The sequence below is a fragment of the Homo sapiens genome, chromosome 18, assembly GCF_000001405.40.
Source record: "Homo sapiens chromosome 18, GRCh38.p14 Primary Assembly".
NCBI classification, from domain to species: Eukaryota; Metazoa; Chordata; class Mammalia; order Primates; family Hominidae; genus Homo; species Homo sapiens.
Window position 1 is genome coordinate 56,812,653 of NC_000018.10, and position 17,281 is coordinate 56,829,933.

Below are 17,281 nucleotides of genomic sequence, written 5' to 3' on the forward strand. Positions count from 1 at the left end.
CTACAGGGTTGCTGGGTGTAAGTCCTGGAGTCCAAAGGCTAGAGAACCTGAAGTTCTGATGTCCAAGGGCAGAAGAAAAAGGATATCCCAGCTCCAGGAGTGAGAATTTGCTTTTTCTCTGCTCTTTTGTTCAGCGAGGGCCCCCAGATAATTGAATGGTGTCTGCCCACATTGAGTGCCGATTTTTCCCACTCAGTACACTGACTCACACACCAGTCTCCCAGGAAACACCGTCACACACATAACCAGAGGTAATACTTTACCGGCTCTCTAGGTATCCCTTAATCCAATCAAGTTGACACTTAATCATAGGTGGGAATTGAACAATGAGATCACATGGACACAGGAAGGGGAATATCACACTCTGGGGACTGTGGTGGGGTCGGGGGAGGGGGGAGGGATAGCATTGGGAGATATACCTAATGCTAGATGACACGTTAGTGGGTGCAGCGCACCAGCATGGCACATGTATACATATGTAACTAACCTGCACAATGTGCACATGTACCCTAAAACTTAGAGTATAATAAAAAAAAAAAACATTAAAAAAAAAAAATTAACCATCACATAGGGCAATTACATCGTTCTTTCTAAAATGTGTGTATGTGTGTGTATTTTCTTGCTTTGTGGCATTGGGTAGAACTTCCAATGATATGTTAAGTAAGAGTGGTGAGTGTGACTATCTTTGCCATATTCCTGATCATAGGGCAAAAGCATTCAGACTTTCACCATTAAGTGTAATGTTAGTTGTAGGCTTTTAGTAGATGCTGTTTATCAAGTTCCTCTGTATTCTTATTTTCTTAGAGGTTTTTTTTTTCTTTTTTAAATCATGAATGGATGTTGAATTTTGTCAAATGATTGATATGAGCAGGAATTCTTTTTTTTCTTCTTCTTCAGCCTGTTAATATTTTGGATCTTAATTGATCCATTTTGGCCAGTTGAACCCCTTTCATGCTGTGAATAAACCCTACTTGGTCATGGTATATAATTCTTTTCATATGTTGCTGTATCCTATTTGCTTTTATTTTTGTTATGAATTCTGGAGACTATCTTTATGAGAGATACTGGTCTGTAGTTTTCTTTTCTTTGTATTTTTTTTTCTGGTGAGGATTTTATAACCCTTACTAAGTTTTGGAAAGCATCAATCAAAGAACCAGTTTTAGCACAACTCCCTGGTCTTTCAGCCTCAGTTACTTTGAGATGTACTTGTTTGTTCCTTAAGCTCTGTTCCAAAATCCTGAATTCCCTTGGTTGAATAGTTAACTGGCACAGCACAGGAGCTCTATGGAATGCTTGGTAGTATTTATAATCAGTATTGTGTGATTCTGTGGTTTCTCAAGGTTATGCTGTGATGTTCTGTGACACCTCCCACCCTGTCCCCAGGAGCTTAGTCCCTGGAAAGACTTGGTGGTAAATTGATATTGAAGTTTGAAATCAAAAGACCTACGTCTCAATTCTGGTTCCTGAATTTAGTAGCCATATTATGTTGAACAATTACTTAGCCTCTCTGATTAAATGAGATAAATGTAAATGGATCCATAAACTTGTTACTACATAAATGCCAGCTTTATTTTCATTGATCCCTTAATTTTGTAGGAAATGAAAATACTAATGCTGATTGTTACTATCCAAACTATTTAATATTTTTTCAATGTTTCTCTGATCATTTTAAAAATTATCAAGTTCTAAGCAAGAAATGGAGACTCAGATATTTCAAAGATTTATATATTGATTTAATATGAAATAATGATTTTTGATTTTGTATTTGAGCAGTATCTATTTAGGAATGTGATGTTTACCTTCTCATCTCCTCTCTGTGATTATTTTACTGATAGCTATCTTTAATAAAGTAATATTATTTTTCTAGTACATCCCCTTCTTTATGTTAAAATTGATCATATAAATCTAACAAAGTGCTTCTGTAAGTTAAACATTGAGTACAGATGGACACAAAGAAGGGAACAACAGACACCGGGGTGTACTTGAGGGTGGAGAGTGGTAGGATGGTAAGGACTGAAAAACTACTTCTTGGGTACTATGCTTATTACCTGCGTAATGAAATAATTTGTACACTAAACCCCCACGACGTGCAATTTACCTATATAGCAAACCTGCACATGTACCCCTGAACCTAAAATAAAAGTTAAAAATTAAAAAAAAAAATGCTTCTGCAAAGTGGTGAGTTTGTCATTTTTTATTCATCAGGGATCATTCTTTAGCATTATTATTATTATTATTTAAAGCAACTCTGAATAAGTAGTGGTACCAAAATGGTGCGTTTTAGTCCACAAGTTTAAATCCTTAGAGCTTGGAACTGCCTACTGGTAGGTCCATTTCTGGATCTGTTACGGTGGTTTGTGACTAAGGTTCTTCCTCTTTTGGTGCCTTTGGTTAACCGGAGGTAGCAAGGCTGAATTTCACATAAATGTTTAAGTTAATACCCCTTGTTAGAAAAGAAGTCCTTGAACTAAAGAAGTGTTTGGTCTTTAAAATATTTAAATGGATTCTATGTAGGCAGTTATTGATATCCTTTTAAGATGATTTGGTTAGAAAGTTTAACTCCTAGAGTAGCTTCTAATGGGGAAATTTTTATATTATCATGATTGAGAAATACCTTTTGATAACCATGTGAAAAATATCGATGCACCCTAGTATCTGTTGTGAAATTGAGAAATAATGTGACAGATGCAAGATGACAACAAATATGTATCATCAAAGATGAAATGATAGATATGTAAGGAAAAGACATTTGTGTGAGCTGGCAAATTCTCAGGCGATTTACAGAATGGAAGCTTTTGGCCTCTGAACTTCTTTGCCTGTCTGCTTTCAGTTAATTTCTTTCATTGTGATAATTACGTGACCTTATATCGAATTCCTTCATAGAGGGAGATGTTATACTTTTTTTGGGTAGTGTGTTTCAGGTCCGTTACTTAGCCCCAGGGCACAAATTCTTCTGTCTTCATCTTTCCTCCCAACTCCCAAGTTATAAACAAACTAACATTAAAAAGAAGTAAACTTTTAAAACAATCCACACTTTCCTCTTTGTTGAATAATTGTCAAAATCAGCCAAAGTAACTGTAGCAAAAACCTTGAAAGGAATCGAGTAAAAAATGTAATACTTCAGCATCCTGTTTCTGTTTTTCCCAGATCTTGGTTAAAAGTAAATACAGTACATACCCATGTACATATATACATGCAAATAAATAGAGCACACGTGAATGTTTTATTCATTGATTTGTGTCTCTAATTTTGGTGAACATATATATTTTTTAATGTATTGTGTTTATGTCCATTAAGTAAATTAAAAATCTTCAAACTTTCTGTTTGCTTTACTTTTCATTTTTTGAAGTGAAGCCTTGTGATTCATATTTGTTTTAGCTGGAGTCACATCAGAAGCCGCGCAGACTATCACCACGGCTCCTGATGCCTCAGGGCCTGAAGCAAAAGTCCAGGAGGAAGAGCATGACCTTGTTGACGATGACATCACCACTGGTAAGCACAGACATCTTTAACGTCTGATTGGAGCTTTGTTTGATATTGCAAAATGTTTTCTAGGTTATTTGTGGTGGGATTAAGTATTTCGACGGAAAGGATGGAAACTTGTACTGATGGTGTATTTAGTTTTATGAAACTGTTCAGTGTCCTCTTTAATTTTGAGGTGAAAAGAAGTGGAACTGTTTCTTTGGTCCAGGTTTGCTCATTGTAGTTCTAACAATAAACCTACTAGCTGTGCACTTGTTTTCTGGAGACCTTTTAATTCAGAATCTGCGATCATTGCTAAAGCCTTGGAATGTATAGAGGAATATACTCATTAAGTTTTGAAAGATTTTGCAACTATCAGGTAAACTAAAAAATACTAAAATTTAATCACAATATATACAATATAAGCTGTATAGGAAGACTTACTCTTTATACCTATACTGTAGAAGTGAATGCTGCTTTTTAATTGTTGGGCCACTGAACATTCTTATCTGTATTACCTTTCACATGAAGTGAAATTTAGGTGAAAAACATAAAGCAAATTTTAGGAAACTCACACACTATAAATGTTTAGCCCGTCTTTTTATACTCTTAAGGCAGTTTCAGTTACTGGATCTCCAAATACATTCAGCTCAATTTCTTTGAATGCACAGAGGTTAAAAATAACCTAGTATAAATACTTACATTGGTATTAAGAATAATAAGCTTTTGTTTTGGGTGTGGGTGGTTAAAATTTAAAATTTGATCATAAAGTGTATAATTGTTGTGAAGCAACAAATATTAATTTAATAGTAAAAAATGTTAATTTACTACTAATCAATATTTTAGAAAGAAGTACGCCCAGAAAATATTAATTTAATAGTAATCAATAATTTAGAAAGAAGCATGCCCAGAAAATAACAGAAAATTTTTAACAAAAATTAAAGGGAGGGCTGGACACAGTGGCTCACACCTGTAATCCCAGCACTTTGGGAGGCCGAGGTGGGCAGATCACCTGAGGTCAGGAGTTTGAGACCAGCCTGGCCAACATGGCAAAATCCCGTCTCTACTAAAAATACAAAAATTAGCCAAGTGTGGTGGTGGGCGCCTGTCATTCCAGCTACTCGGGAGGCTGAGGCAGGAGAATCGCTTGACCTGGGAGGTGGAGGTTGCAGTGAGCCGAGATTGCACCTCTGCGCTCCAGCCTAGGCAACAGAGTGAGACTCTGTCTCAAAAAAAAAAAAAAAAGAAAAATTAAAAGGAGAAAAGAAAGGGGAGATTTCCTCCTTCCCTCCCACCCTCCGTGATAGGTAGGTTACTGTTACATGGGAAGAAGAAAGTCTAAGATCTCCCTTGAAAATTTACAAAGTGTATATTTAAAATACCTATAGCCTTGTGCCACTGCTGCCTAATATTGCCAGAGTTGGGGAACATCTGATTTTCAATAAAAATGAGATGATGATGGTGGCTATTACTTTTAAATTCTTTTTAGTGTGTAAGTTCATTGATGAAAAATATTATCCAACCTAAATATGAACGATTTCAGGAACTTCTAATTTTTCTGATAGTCATTTAGCACTTTACAATTATAGAATTTGTTTTGGTAGCTGCTAAAGAAAATCTATTTTCTTTGCAGATTTTTTTTTTTTTTTGAGATGGAGTCTTGCTTTGTTGCCCAGGTTGGGGTGCAGTGGCGCGATCTCGGCTCACTGCAACCTCCACTCTCAGGTTCAAGCAATTCTCCTGCCTCAGCCTCTCAAGCAGCTATAACTACAGGTGCATACCACCACGCCCAGCTAATTTTTGTATTTTTAGTAGAAACAGAGTTTCACCATATTGGCCAGGCTGGTCTCAAATTCCTGACCTTGTGATCCACCTGCCTCGGTCTCCCAAAGTGCTGGGATTACAGGCATGAGCCACTGCACCTGGCCTATTTGCAGATTTTTAAGCCAGTCCGTGTTTGTTCCGTTTTCACTGCTTTTCATACTGTCATATGTATGTTTTTTGTTATATTTTAATTCCCTGTAAAGTTTAAACACCTTCCAATCTATAAAAAGTAGTTGTTTAAGTCATAGCAAAAATAAATTTGCCTTTGCAATAGTAGAATAACTCAATTTGCATTCTGGAATAAAAGCTGAATTTTTGAGCAGTCAAGTAAGCATTATTAAATCAGTACATTGAAATTTTGAATTATGCACTACCAAAGTCATGAGATAGCATTACAGTATATGATTTTTTAATTTTATTGTTAACAAAATCAAGAAACTAAGAATGCAAATCTAATTTGAAGAGTCTATTAATGCTACATACACTATATTTTAATCTGTAAGTTTGGTTAAACATATGTGACAAATGGCTTTTATCTGCTGATTTATCCATTTCCTGTCATGGGTACTAGAGGCAAGAATGTTCAATATCCGAAGAACTTAAATAACTAAAAAATGGCTTCCTTACCATGTTGTCAAAGCAACTAGTATGTTGCAGCCTGTAGATCGTTCGGGTTACCTTTAAATTGTGTGACTCGATTAAGCTATGGTATAGATTTTTGTGAGGGTTTAGAAGAAAACCATATTTCTTTTCATTGACTAGAATCCTATATAAATTGCATTATGAAAAATATGGTAGATGCATTGAGAGAAATCTGATTCAAGCACAATAATCTTGTTTTGGGGTAACTAGTGTTGTAGAGAGCCAGTACTACAAAAGGGAAAGCTGGCTAGTGCAGCCATTCAGGTGATTTTTCCAGTTATTTTAGAGGAATTGTTCTAATATTTCTTCATAAAATAAGTAGTAATTATATCATGACAGGTATTTGCCTGCATTTTCAGGGAATTCTTATTTGAAAGCTATAGTTAGGCTAATGTGTATAGTTGTATTACTTTTATTATTGTAGTAATCTGGATCTTAATTTCTAGAAACAGTCTGAGCAAGATAACAATTAAAATATGAGGTATAATATAATGCTTTCACTAAAGGCAGAATACTTTTTGAAATTTTTCTTTTGGGTACAAATGGGTTAGGTATGAATACTGTTTTATGACAGTTGAATCTGAGCCTAGTAGCCTTTGTTAGCATTTGCCTTATCAAAGTAAAGACACATGGATTAAGCTGTACAAGTGTTGGCTATGATCAATTGGAACTAATTAAATTTATTTGAAGCGAAGAATCTTAACTGGAAGAGAACAGCTGGAAAGACTAGGAGGAAAAAAATTGGGTCTTGATTGATACAATTTAAATCTTCACTCTGTCATTTAAAAAATATGCTGCAGCTTCTTTCTCTATCTCTCTTTTTAAAGCTAATATCTATTGATCGGCTCTACAGAGTAATGCCAGTGTGCCTTGGTCAACACACATACTCAGTTTTACTTAGCGTTCTGTCTTGAGGTTCATCAAATTCTTTCCTTTAACCATAGGTTTTAAATTATATATCATAGACATATTAGCCCTCTTGGCGGATTAATGTTGTTTTAAGTAGAAAAATATTAAAACCTATTTCATATTAAAACCTATTCAATATTCAAACCTATTACATTCAATATTAAACCTATTACATTCAATATTAAAACCTATTACAATATGCATGGGAAATGTACTTTTCAATGACGTTGCTTTAGGATTTATAATACTCTGTATATTTAGAATCTGTTTTAACTGCTTAATAGAATTTAAAACAAAACAATAGTGTTGATTCTAGATTATAATTTGAGTCACAAGAAGAGTACTGTATACCTGTGTGTTTGCTTTTATATGTATACTTTTATTTCCAGTATTATCACTTAATTGCTATGTAGATATATAACTGACATTTATAAATAACACTTTCCTATTTATAGTATGTTATTAATAGGTCATAATTATACTAATGGAGTAAATCTCACTAAAGCTGACGTACATAGAAGAAATTTTGGATTGATCATAATCTGCTTAAGTGAGACCTTCCTGTGACTTAGTTAATTTTATGTGTCTTTTATCATGGTACAGTATAGCATTCTGATTGTGGGTGAAGTGATACACCCTCTAAATACTGCATCTAAAAACAACCTCACCTTAATTGCAGGCTGAACAGAATTTTGGAAGGGTTTCATTCACAAACCTGCATGTATGCCTTTAAGAAAGTTCCTATATTCTTCTGAGGGTCATAGTTTGGTGTCTTACCTCTTGTTCAATACAGCAAGGACACAAACTGACCAAAAACGATGATAAAGGGTCAAGAGTCACTGACATTGTCAAAAAAAAAAAAAAAAAAAAAAAAACCACCTTGATACTAGATCAGCAGCACAGTTGACAGATTCAACTACAAAAGCAGCAATGATACGTGGATCCCAATGGGTGGGTCGACTGTACTTATTTTACTTTTTGATGCATTTTTTGTTAAATTATAATTAGCTACATTTTGATTACTCATTCAGGAGCAAATATATATCTTCCCATTACTCATTAATAGATGCAGAGAATAATGTATTTTGCTATTCCTGTGTATTTAGTGCTGACAGAACTTACATGTGTCTGTATCCCTCCTCCCCCTGCCCTCAGTTACGTTGTACAGACATATATTTTAAATCTAATTCTTTACAGCTGTGTATTTTACTGATTTAAGGTTTTAAGTTTCTGAGAAGATGTCCTGTCTTACAGTAAATTGATGTAAGTTTTCTATAAATGTGCTTTTGTTTTTCTTGGATTATAGAATCAAATTTTTTTTGTAGGTATGATCTTAGAGACTAGCTTATGTTCTCCTTTTACAATCAAATAAATTAATATCATTCTTTCTTAAAAAACTTACATGATTGATACCTAGTGTCCCAAAACATATGATTTGACCTTTCATTCAAAAAAGTCTATATAACTGAATGAAAATGAAAAGATGTAGTAATGATGAAAAGTAATATTATATAGTATCATTAATAGTGTGTAGTAATCCTCTCAGTAGTCATCTACTCATTCAATCAGTAAATATTTTTGAGTACTTTACTGCCAGACACTGTTTAGGATATGCCATTGAATAAAATAGGCAATCACACTTGTCCTTGTGGAGCTTACATTTTCATGGAGGGAGGCAGACAATAAGAAGAAGAAGAAGTAAATAAATATGCAGTATATTAGAAGATGAGAGCTGCCATGGAAAGAAGAAAAAATAGAGAAGGGTAAGAGAAGTTAAAAGTAATATCACTTGACAACTTTCTTTTATCAAGCACATTACACATGAGCCTTATGAAATTACTTTGAAGTAGATACTAATATATTTCCAGATATGTAGTTGAGGAAACAAGCTGAGAGAGATAACTTTTACAGGGTCACATATGTACCAGGTAATAGATCTGGGATTAAAGTGAGTCCTACCTGATTCCAAAGCTGATGTGTGGTCTTAAGCCCTACTCTGCACTGCCTCACATTCTCAAAGTAACACATTAAACTTTGGAAGATTTTCATTTTCTTTTGAAATATGAGATGATGTCACAGTTTACCTTGATTGTTTATGATAAGAGGTAGTTACTTTGCTGGATATCTAATCTCATCATTATTCCCCCTGCATACCCCTCCTTTTTTTTTTTTTGACATGTGGTCTCTGTTGCCTAGGCTGGTCTCAAACTCTTGGGTTTGGCTGGGCATGAATAGTGGCTCACACCCATAATCCCAGCACTTTGGAGAGCTAAGGCAGGAGGATTGCTTGAGGCCAGGCATTTGAGACTATCCTACACAACAGGGAGATACCCTATCTCTACAAAAAAAAAAATTAAAAGTTAGCTAGGTGTGGTGGTGCGCACCTGTGGTCCCAGCTACGTGGGAGGCTGAGCTGGGAGGATCACTTGAGCTCAGGAGGTCGAGGCTGCAGTGAGCCATGTTCGAACCACTGCACTCCAGACTGGGTGACAGAACAAGACTCTGTCTCAATAAAAACAAAGGAAAAACTGGGCTCACGCTATCCTCTCTCCTCAAACTCCCGAGTAGCTGGTACTACAGGTGTGCTACTGTGTCCATCTAGTCCCATTATTTAAAATGCAAATTTGTTATTCTAAATTTAGACCAAGAGATTATCTCCATTAGGAAAAAAATCACCGCATATTCGTTCTTTAAATTTTCAAACATTATTTAGGACTGTTGTAACATAATAATATAAATAGAAGTATTTTTCATTACTAAACTGTCAGTTTATTACATACGTGTAAATGTTCATTGTTGTGTCCAGCTTTTTGAAGTCATCAGTATAAAACTGATACATTAATATGTTTATACACTAAAGTCAACATCTATTTTAAAATAGAACTGAAAAAGATGTCTAGTCTGAGACTAAATATTGATTTGTGCATTTACTTACTGAAGGTCCTATTCATAAGATGTTTTTACATTTGTTCTGAATGAAAGATAGGAAATTTACCCTGTTAAAGTACAGATAAGCTCCAAAGAACAAAATACGGCATATTATGTATTCAGAAACCAGACGTTCTTTCCTAGCCCGGAGTCAGAGGCTGTATAATTTGTAAACTAGAATAAGAGACTTCCACCCGCACCCTCTGCCTTTCTCATTCTTTAACTGATATTTAACAGCCTAAAAAGTAGTTTAGATGTATGTGAATTTTAAGTCACTTCTAAATTATCACTACCCTTGCTTTTGACTTCAGAATGTTAGCTACTACAAAATATATGAGTTTACTATATTAAGGCTCTTAGTAATTATAAATTACTAAAGCTATGGTTTTTGTTTTTTAACTCTGCAGTTTTCATGAAAACAGATATTAAGAAAAATAAAAGTGTAAATTTCATAGTTTTCTGAGTGAACTATGTCATTTCAAATAATTTACCTTTTTGTCCTTTTTTAAAAAAAATCTGGGAGAAGAAACCGTATATGAAAATATTTCTTTCTTGTTTAGTGTTTAATGCTCAGCTTTAGTTTGTGTTGAAGGACAAGTAGAATGTTTCTAAATACAGTATTTGAGAAAGTTTTTGACATGAATATTAAAATACAGAAAAAAATGATGCTGTGTAAAACTGAGATACACTTTCTTTTCTCGTATTTTCTCTCTGGGTGATTTACTTTTTCTGTTCTTTGGTAACTACCACTTGTATGTTAATGACTGTCAATCAAATCTGTATCTCCAACCTAGCCTTCTCTTTTCAATATCAGATTCGTATGTCCTCCTGCCTGAATGTCCTGTAGATACCTAAATACCAAGTGCAAAAGGAGCTATAGGCCAGTTCGGTGGCTAGTGCCTGTAATCCCAGCACTTTGGGAGGCCGAGGCCTGCGGATCATCTGAGGTCAGGAGTTCGAGACCACCCTGGTCAACATATAGTATAAACCCATCTCTACTAAAAAATACAAAAATTATTTGTATTCATAGTGGTGGCAGGTGCCTTTAATCCCAGCTACTTGGGAAGATGAGGCAGGAGAATCGCTTGAACCCAGGAGGCGGAGGTTGCAGTGAGCTGAGATCACATCCCTGCGCTCCAGCCTGGGCGACAGAGCAAGACTCCGTCTCTCAAACAAACAAAAAAACAAAAAAGGAGCTATGTTTCTTCCTAAACCTCACCTTCTTTCATATGTATACCTCAGTTAAAGGCACATCACTAATGGTACCGTTAATGACCTGACATCTCAAACTTGAAGTCCAAGGATAATCCTGGCTTTCCCACTTTTTAACAATGTCCACATACGGTTGGTGTAAGTTCTTGTAAAATGTGCCTCTTAAATATCTCTCAGTGGTTTTTGTCTTCTCTGTTTCCACAGAGAATACCTAGATCCAGCCTTGCATTTTTTCTTCTTCAGATTATCGTTGCATTTTCCTGCAACCATCTCCCTGTCTTCATTCTCTTATCTCATCCAGATCATGTCTTCCATGACTCTGAGAGTTTAAGAAGCCAGTTCATCACCCTTCACCCTCATTAACAGCTACTTAATGACTTCCCATTGAATATAGCTCCAAATCTAAATACCTTGGTGAGATATCTAGGGTTCTTCAAGGGCTGACTTATATCTCTGATGTCATCAGCTAAAGCAGTACTTAACTTTGTTCCCCAGAGTACCCTGCTATTTTGTGATTCATACTTTGCATGTGCCCCTCCATCTGACTGGCATGCTCTTAACTCTGACATATGGGATGAAATTCCAAGAATTCCCCTCAAATTCAGCTTGAGTGTCGTCATCTTCATGGATCCTATCTGGACCCTTCTTATATAATATCTCCCTGTTCATTGTACACACTTCTGCTCTTGCAGCTTAATAATATGTAGCAATAATGACATCTGTAATTTTGTTAAGTGATCATTTCACTTGCACTTTCTGAGTCATGTGGGCATGTGACTTTTACCTTCTTGTATGCCTAGCACTAGAATAGCTGGTACATAGCATCTTCTCAATAAATGTTTATTGAATGAATGGTTGAATTAATCCATAAGGTTACTCATATTTCAAGCAGCACTCCTTATACACTGTGTATTTACTTAAACACATTTGCTATATCCTTCCTATACTTACATAGTTTATATCTCCTTAACCTCCCTGCCCATCTTCTTAGTGGCTATTTAAATGACTCAAAACATCTTGGTAACACATTAGTGAGGTGATGTAGGCTTATTTGTAGATAAATTATCTCTTGATATTATGAAAATGAGACTGGGAACACATCTAAGAACATAATTAGCTCTACCGAGTTAGTCACTATTGTTTCTGTTTAAAAGTTTATCTTTTTCTCTTGGAAAATAATACGTGTTCAAAATTAGGAGAAGGATGTGATACATAGATTTAAATAAGAAAAGATAGAACAAAAACCTGGAACAAATGTGCTTTGTAACTTGTCTTAATGAGCAGGTGGAAGTTGGGATGTGCTATTGGAATTGCACGAGCAGAGAACTAGACCTGATAGAATTCTCAGAGAATCCCCTTTCTGTGGTCTGCCTTGGCTCTTGCAGGTTTGGTAGACAGTGGAGATGTACTTGTGGATGATGGTCCCAGTTTCTTCAAAGTCTGGGAATCCCTATTTGGTTGCTGCCTCTTCAGTCACCCTTTTCTTCCTTGCTCTGGTAACTGTGCCTCCTCGTTTCTAGGATGGATTCTGTCAGCAAAAGCCAGAGTCTTTAATCAACTGTTGCCTTGGCACCAAATCTTTCATAATACTATTTTCCAGTAAGGGCACTTTTATTTTTTGTGTGTGCATGTAAAGGTTGTTTGCATGTAATATTTTTGCAAGGGGTTTGGGCAAATAAATAGTAATTAACACCATCTTTGCAAACTTATGTAAAAGAACACATTGCAAAATCAAGAACTTAAAGTAATAACTATCTCAATGACTTAGCAGCATTTATTGAGTACTTAATATGTGTCAGACTGGCTCTATGCTCTTTTAAATCCTCACACAATTCATGTGATGCCTTCATTATTGCTTCCGTTTTACAGGAGAAGAAAATGAGGCACAGAATGGTAAAGTTACTTGCCACATAAAAGCCACAGATAGGAAATGACAAAGTCAGGATTTGAAGCTGGGCTATTGCTTCTAGATCTTGTGCTTTTAAATTGAAGTAATTTTTAAAAAATCAAGTCATTTATAAACCTTACAAGAGAAAAAAGAAACACATATATTATGACTTGTCATTTTCTTTTTGTGATATATAGAAATTTCTATTTTAATTTTTAATATAGCTTAACTTTTTTGTGTAGTACAAGGAAGTGTTTGAAATGTGAAGAAAATACTTCCTGTTTTCTTAAAGGAGAAACATAGAAATTCAGTATATGAAGATAATTTTATGTATTGTCTAGATAAACTAGAATTTCTACCTCGTGTTCATATAAAACCACACACATAAATACACCAACACATAAACAGTATTAGATCAGAAAGCCTTAAGTTTTGAGTTTCGCATTAACTATTATATATTTCTTTTGCTAAATTTAGACCAAACAGGAAAAAAGCAGAAATACTTAGTTGGATAATAATGTAGATGCTGCATTGGGGTTGGGGGAGGGCAGGTGGGTGGTAGAGGGAAGCCATCCTTGTGAGTGAATAACCTTCAGGATGAACTTAAAGTCTGGCCTTTTGTGAGCTGTGTAATAATAACTCATGGATAAGGGTGAATTACATTAGATTGTGGCACACTATTATATATCTATATATTACATGAATTGCCCTTATAATTGATATCAAACTCATATGACCAAAAGTTGTAATTCACAAAAGTAATGACAACAATGTCTCATAATTCACAGACTCTATGTCATACCTGTGAATGATTGCTTTTACTGTGCAAACCATGTTAAAGGGGAAAAACAGGTTTTAAAATAGATGTCGGGTTCTGAAGACTCCTTCTTCCTGATACTTCATAGTCATTTTTAATACACAAAAAGATAATTAAATTTACTATCATCTGTGACTTTCCCCATGATTTCTTGGTTTCAAGTCACTTGCAAGTGTAAAAGCTTTTGCTCTTAATTTGAAGTTTTAAATTACAAATGAAAGGTAATATTTAATATTTGAAGTGAAGATAGCCATAAACCTGAATGTATTTTCTCCTCACGTGACATACTAGAAAGAGGAGTCCTCACTCATAGGTAGGATAAATATTGAGAGTATTTTCTCATCTTTTTTGTTATAACTATTTATCCTAAATAAAGATGGATGAATTAAATCCAGTGTGAAAGGATTCAGGGAATCAGAACCAGCTACTCTTTCTTTGTTTACCCTTTCTGTAAATGTATTTTTTCAGTGTGGTTAGTACCACTGAAAAGGAGTATAAGGAATATTCAGTTTTATTCAATAAAACATGAATAAGTGCCTTATGTCTTCTATCAGCACATTCTATGGGGGATTTAATAAAGCAAGCCTCTAGATGAGAAGGCAATGATCAAATTTTAGATATGTCTGCATGCAAGTGCACAGATGACATATATGTGCATATTCTCTGTAGCTGGGAGAATTCAGAGTACTGAGCTTAGTTAAGGGTAGGAGTTATGTAAGAGGTAAGCCTGCGCTTATTGCGGAGGTGGAGAGACATGGGAAAAGCTTCCAAGCTCAAGCTGTTAGTTTACAGACTTAGAAATAATTAGCTGTGGAGGGAGTGAGAAGAAGAATGGCCTTGCCCAGAGCAGACAGACTGTAAGGACAGCTTCCTTACTTGTTCATTGTATGCCCTTATTTGAGTTACTTGACTGTGCTAAGCCTCAATTTTCTCACCTGAAATATGAGGATAATAAGGTTATTAGGAGACAGATGAATGGCTACAGAAAATGTGGGACATAATCACAATGGAGCAATGGAGTACTATTCAGCCATAAAAAAGAATGAGACCAATCATTTACAACAACCTAGGTGGAACTGGAGATCATTCTGTTAAGTGAAATAAGGCAGGCACAGAAAGACAAATGTCGCCTGTTCTCATTTATGGGATCTAAAAATCAAAGCAATTGAACTCATGGACCTATGTCCATGAGTAGAAGGAGGGTAGAGAGCCTACCAGAGTCTGGGAAGGGTAGTGGGGGTTGGGGGAGGGGTGGTTAATGGGTACAAAAATAGGTAGAAAGAATGAATAAGACCTATTATTTGGTAGAACAACAGGGTGACCATAGTCAAAATAATTTAGTTGTACATTTAAAGATAAGTAAAAGAGTGTAATTGGATTGTTGATAACATGGAGGATAAATGCTTGAGAAGATGGATATTCCATTTCCCATGATGTGATTATTGCAAATTGTATGCCTGTATTGGAATATCTCATGTACCCCATAAATATATGCACCTACTATATACCCACAAAAATGAAAAATTTAAAAAAAACAGCAAAAAACAAAAAAGATTGTCTTGAGGATTAAATGAGATGATGCATGGAATGTTTTTAGAAGAACTGGAGCATAGTAAGTGCTCAATAAATATGATAGGCTTCTTGCCTCACTTCCCTTCTCATTACCACCATCATCCTTAAGTGATTTGCTTTAATAACATAAATGGTTGATAACTAACATCATTTATAAATCAGTTTTGAGTGACTTAGTGGTGTTTATTCTAGGTAGTTTGACTATCCTTTACAAGGATATAAACTTGCTAGAAACATTTATACTTTACAGATCAAGAACTAAGCCATATCCAAACTACCACTTCAAATTTTCACAAATTTATAAAAGTTGGCTCGTGAAATATTGATAAATTATATTTTCTTAAACACTTTTATATTGATTTCTTTTATCACATTTATTGTCTGAGTTGAATTTGACCATGAAGGTGAATTATTTGACGAAACAGACATAACTGCAGCTTTAAAAGAAAAAGTAGCTGAGGAAGAGTTAATTTGCATATGCATAGCTGAGTTCAGCCAATGGTGAAGTGAGGGGTAAAAAGGAGAGATAATGGAGACAAGCTTTCCGAATGTTCTGATGTGGCCATTTAGTTGACAGTCATTACTAGACTTTAGAAAACATGTTTGAAAAATAATAGACAAGACGGATATGGTCCATGGAGAAAGATACCTTAAAATATTAAATATTAATTAAAATATTTTTTAAAATCTGAAGGTTAAAAGAGGATCTTCACCATACTATCATTAAATAGTCTTGCCGAGAAAGATAAAAGGGGGAATGTTTAATATAACTCTCATACTTGCAAAGGATGGTTTGTCATCAGCTCAGTTTTTAAGAGGGTGTGTTCAAAAACAGAGCACGGTGTACCACAGCAAAATTCAACTAAATGTGAGAGTAGAATATAGACAGTTTTAGAAATGCAGGTTATCAAAAAATGTGCCTCCTATGTCTTAAGAACTAGTGGAGGATGTGTGCCTCCAAAATTGAGAAAGTAAACCAAGAAAGAGGAAGCTGAGGATCTAGTGATCCAGATAATCTTTATATAACCCTTTATATAAACCTTATAAAACCTGTCTTGCCCCTTGATACTTTCAAACCCCCATCTCATTGTTTTAGGCAACATCCCTTAGGAACATGCTGCTCAGGGCTGAGCACAGTGGCTCACATACGAGGATAGCTTCAGACCAGGGGTTCAAGATTAGCCCGCGGCAACATAGTGAAACTTCACCTCTCCAAAAAAAAAAAAAAAAAATTTAGCTGAGTGTGGTGGTGTGCACCTGTAGTCTCAGCTACTTGGGAGGCTGAGACAAAATGATCACTATGATTGCACCACTGCACTGCAGCCTGGGTGACAGAGGGAGGCCTTCTGTAAAAAAAAAAAATAATAAACAAACCCCAACCTCCCCCTACCACACACACACACACAAAATAGGACTGTAACCCTCAGAAACCTAGCCACCCTGAGGGTTACTTGGAAAAGGGAAATCTGAGAGAGAAGCATTTAGGCTGCAAAGTCCAGCACCCCCTCCCCATGTGGAAAGTCTCCGTGACTGTATTGATTTAATAAGTTTCCTTATGTTCTGGATATTTGGCAAGTTCTAACTGTTCCATTTTCCAGGGTAGGCTTGATTTCTGCTCCTGAATCTACTCCCTTGTATAACAGATTTACACTTCTGGGTGAGAATTTGGGGATAAATTACTGAAATATAAAGAGAATCAAGTAAATAACAAAAGACAGTTATTGACTGCAAGGAGGGAAAAAAAGCAGTGCTGATAAAGTTATCAAAAACCACATGATTGAGTTATGCATAACATGCACAGATTGTGAAACTATCAACCTTAATTATGATGTAATTTTATTAAGAACTGTGATATAAATTGGGAGGCACAGGAGGAAGAAGGCAGGAGAAAGCGTGTGAATGTGGTATGTGAATGTGTGAATGTGGAGTGTGTATGTGATGTATGCAAGTTGTGTTTATGTAAAGGAGAACCCAATTTTTATTGACCATAGTTGAGGATCATAAGTTTAAAGATAGATAAGTCTAAA

The 17,281-nt window shown here is 35.4% G+C and overlaps 1 protein-coding gene across 11 annotated transcripts in view; it reads left to right on the forward strand.

Annotated features, from left to right (window-relative positions):
- Window positions 1–17,281, forward strand: part of WDR7 (WD repeat domain 7) — a 385,248-nt gene that overhangs the window by 161,294 nt on the left and 206,673 nt on the right. For all 11 annotated transcript variants that reach the window (XR_007066131.1, XR_007066132.1, XR_007066133.1 and 8 more), the window contains one exon: window positions 3,379–3,492. Coding sequence is in view for 7 of the 11 variants with exons in the window: in NM_015285.3 (NP_056100.2) it covers window positions 3,379–3,492 (114 nt within the window). In the remaining 4 variants the exon portion in view is untranslated. The remainder of the gene's footprint in view (window positions 1–3,378; window positions 3,493–17,281) is intronic.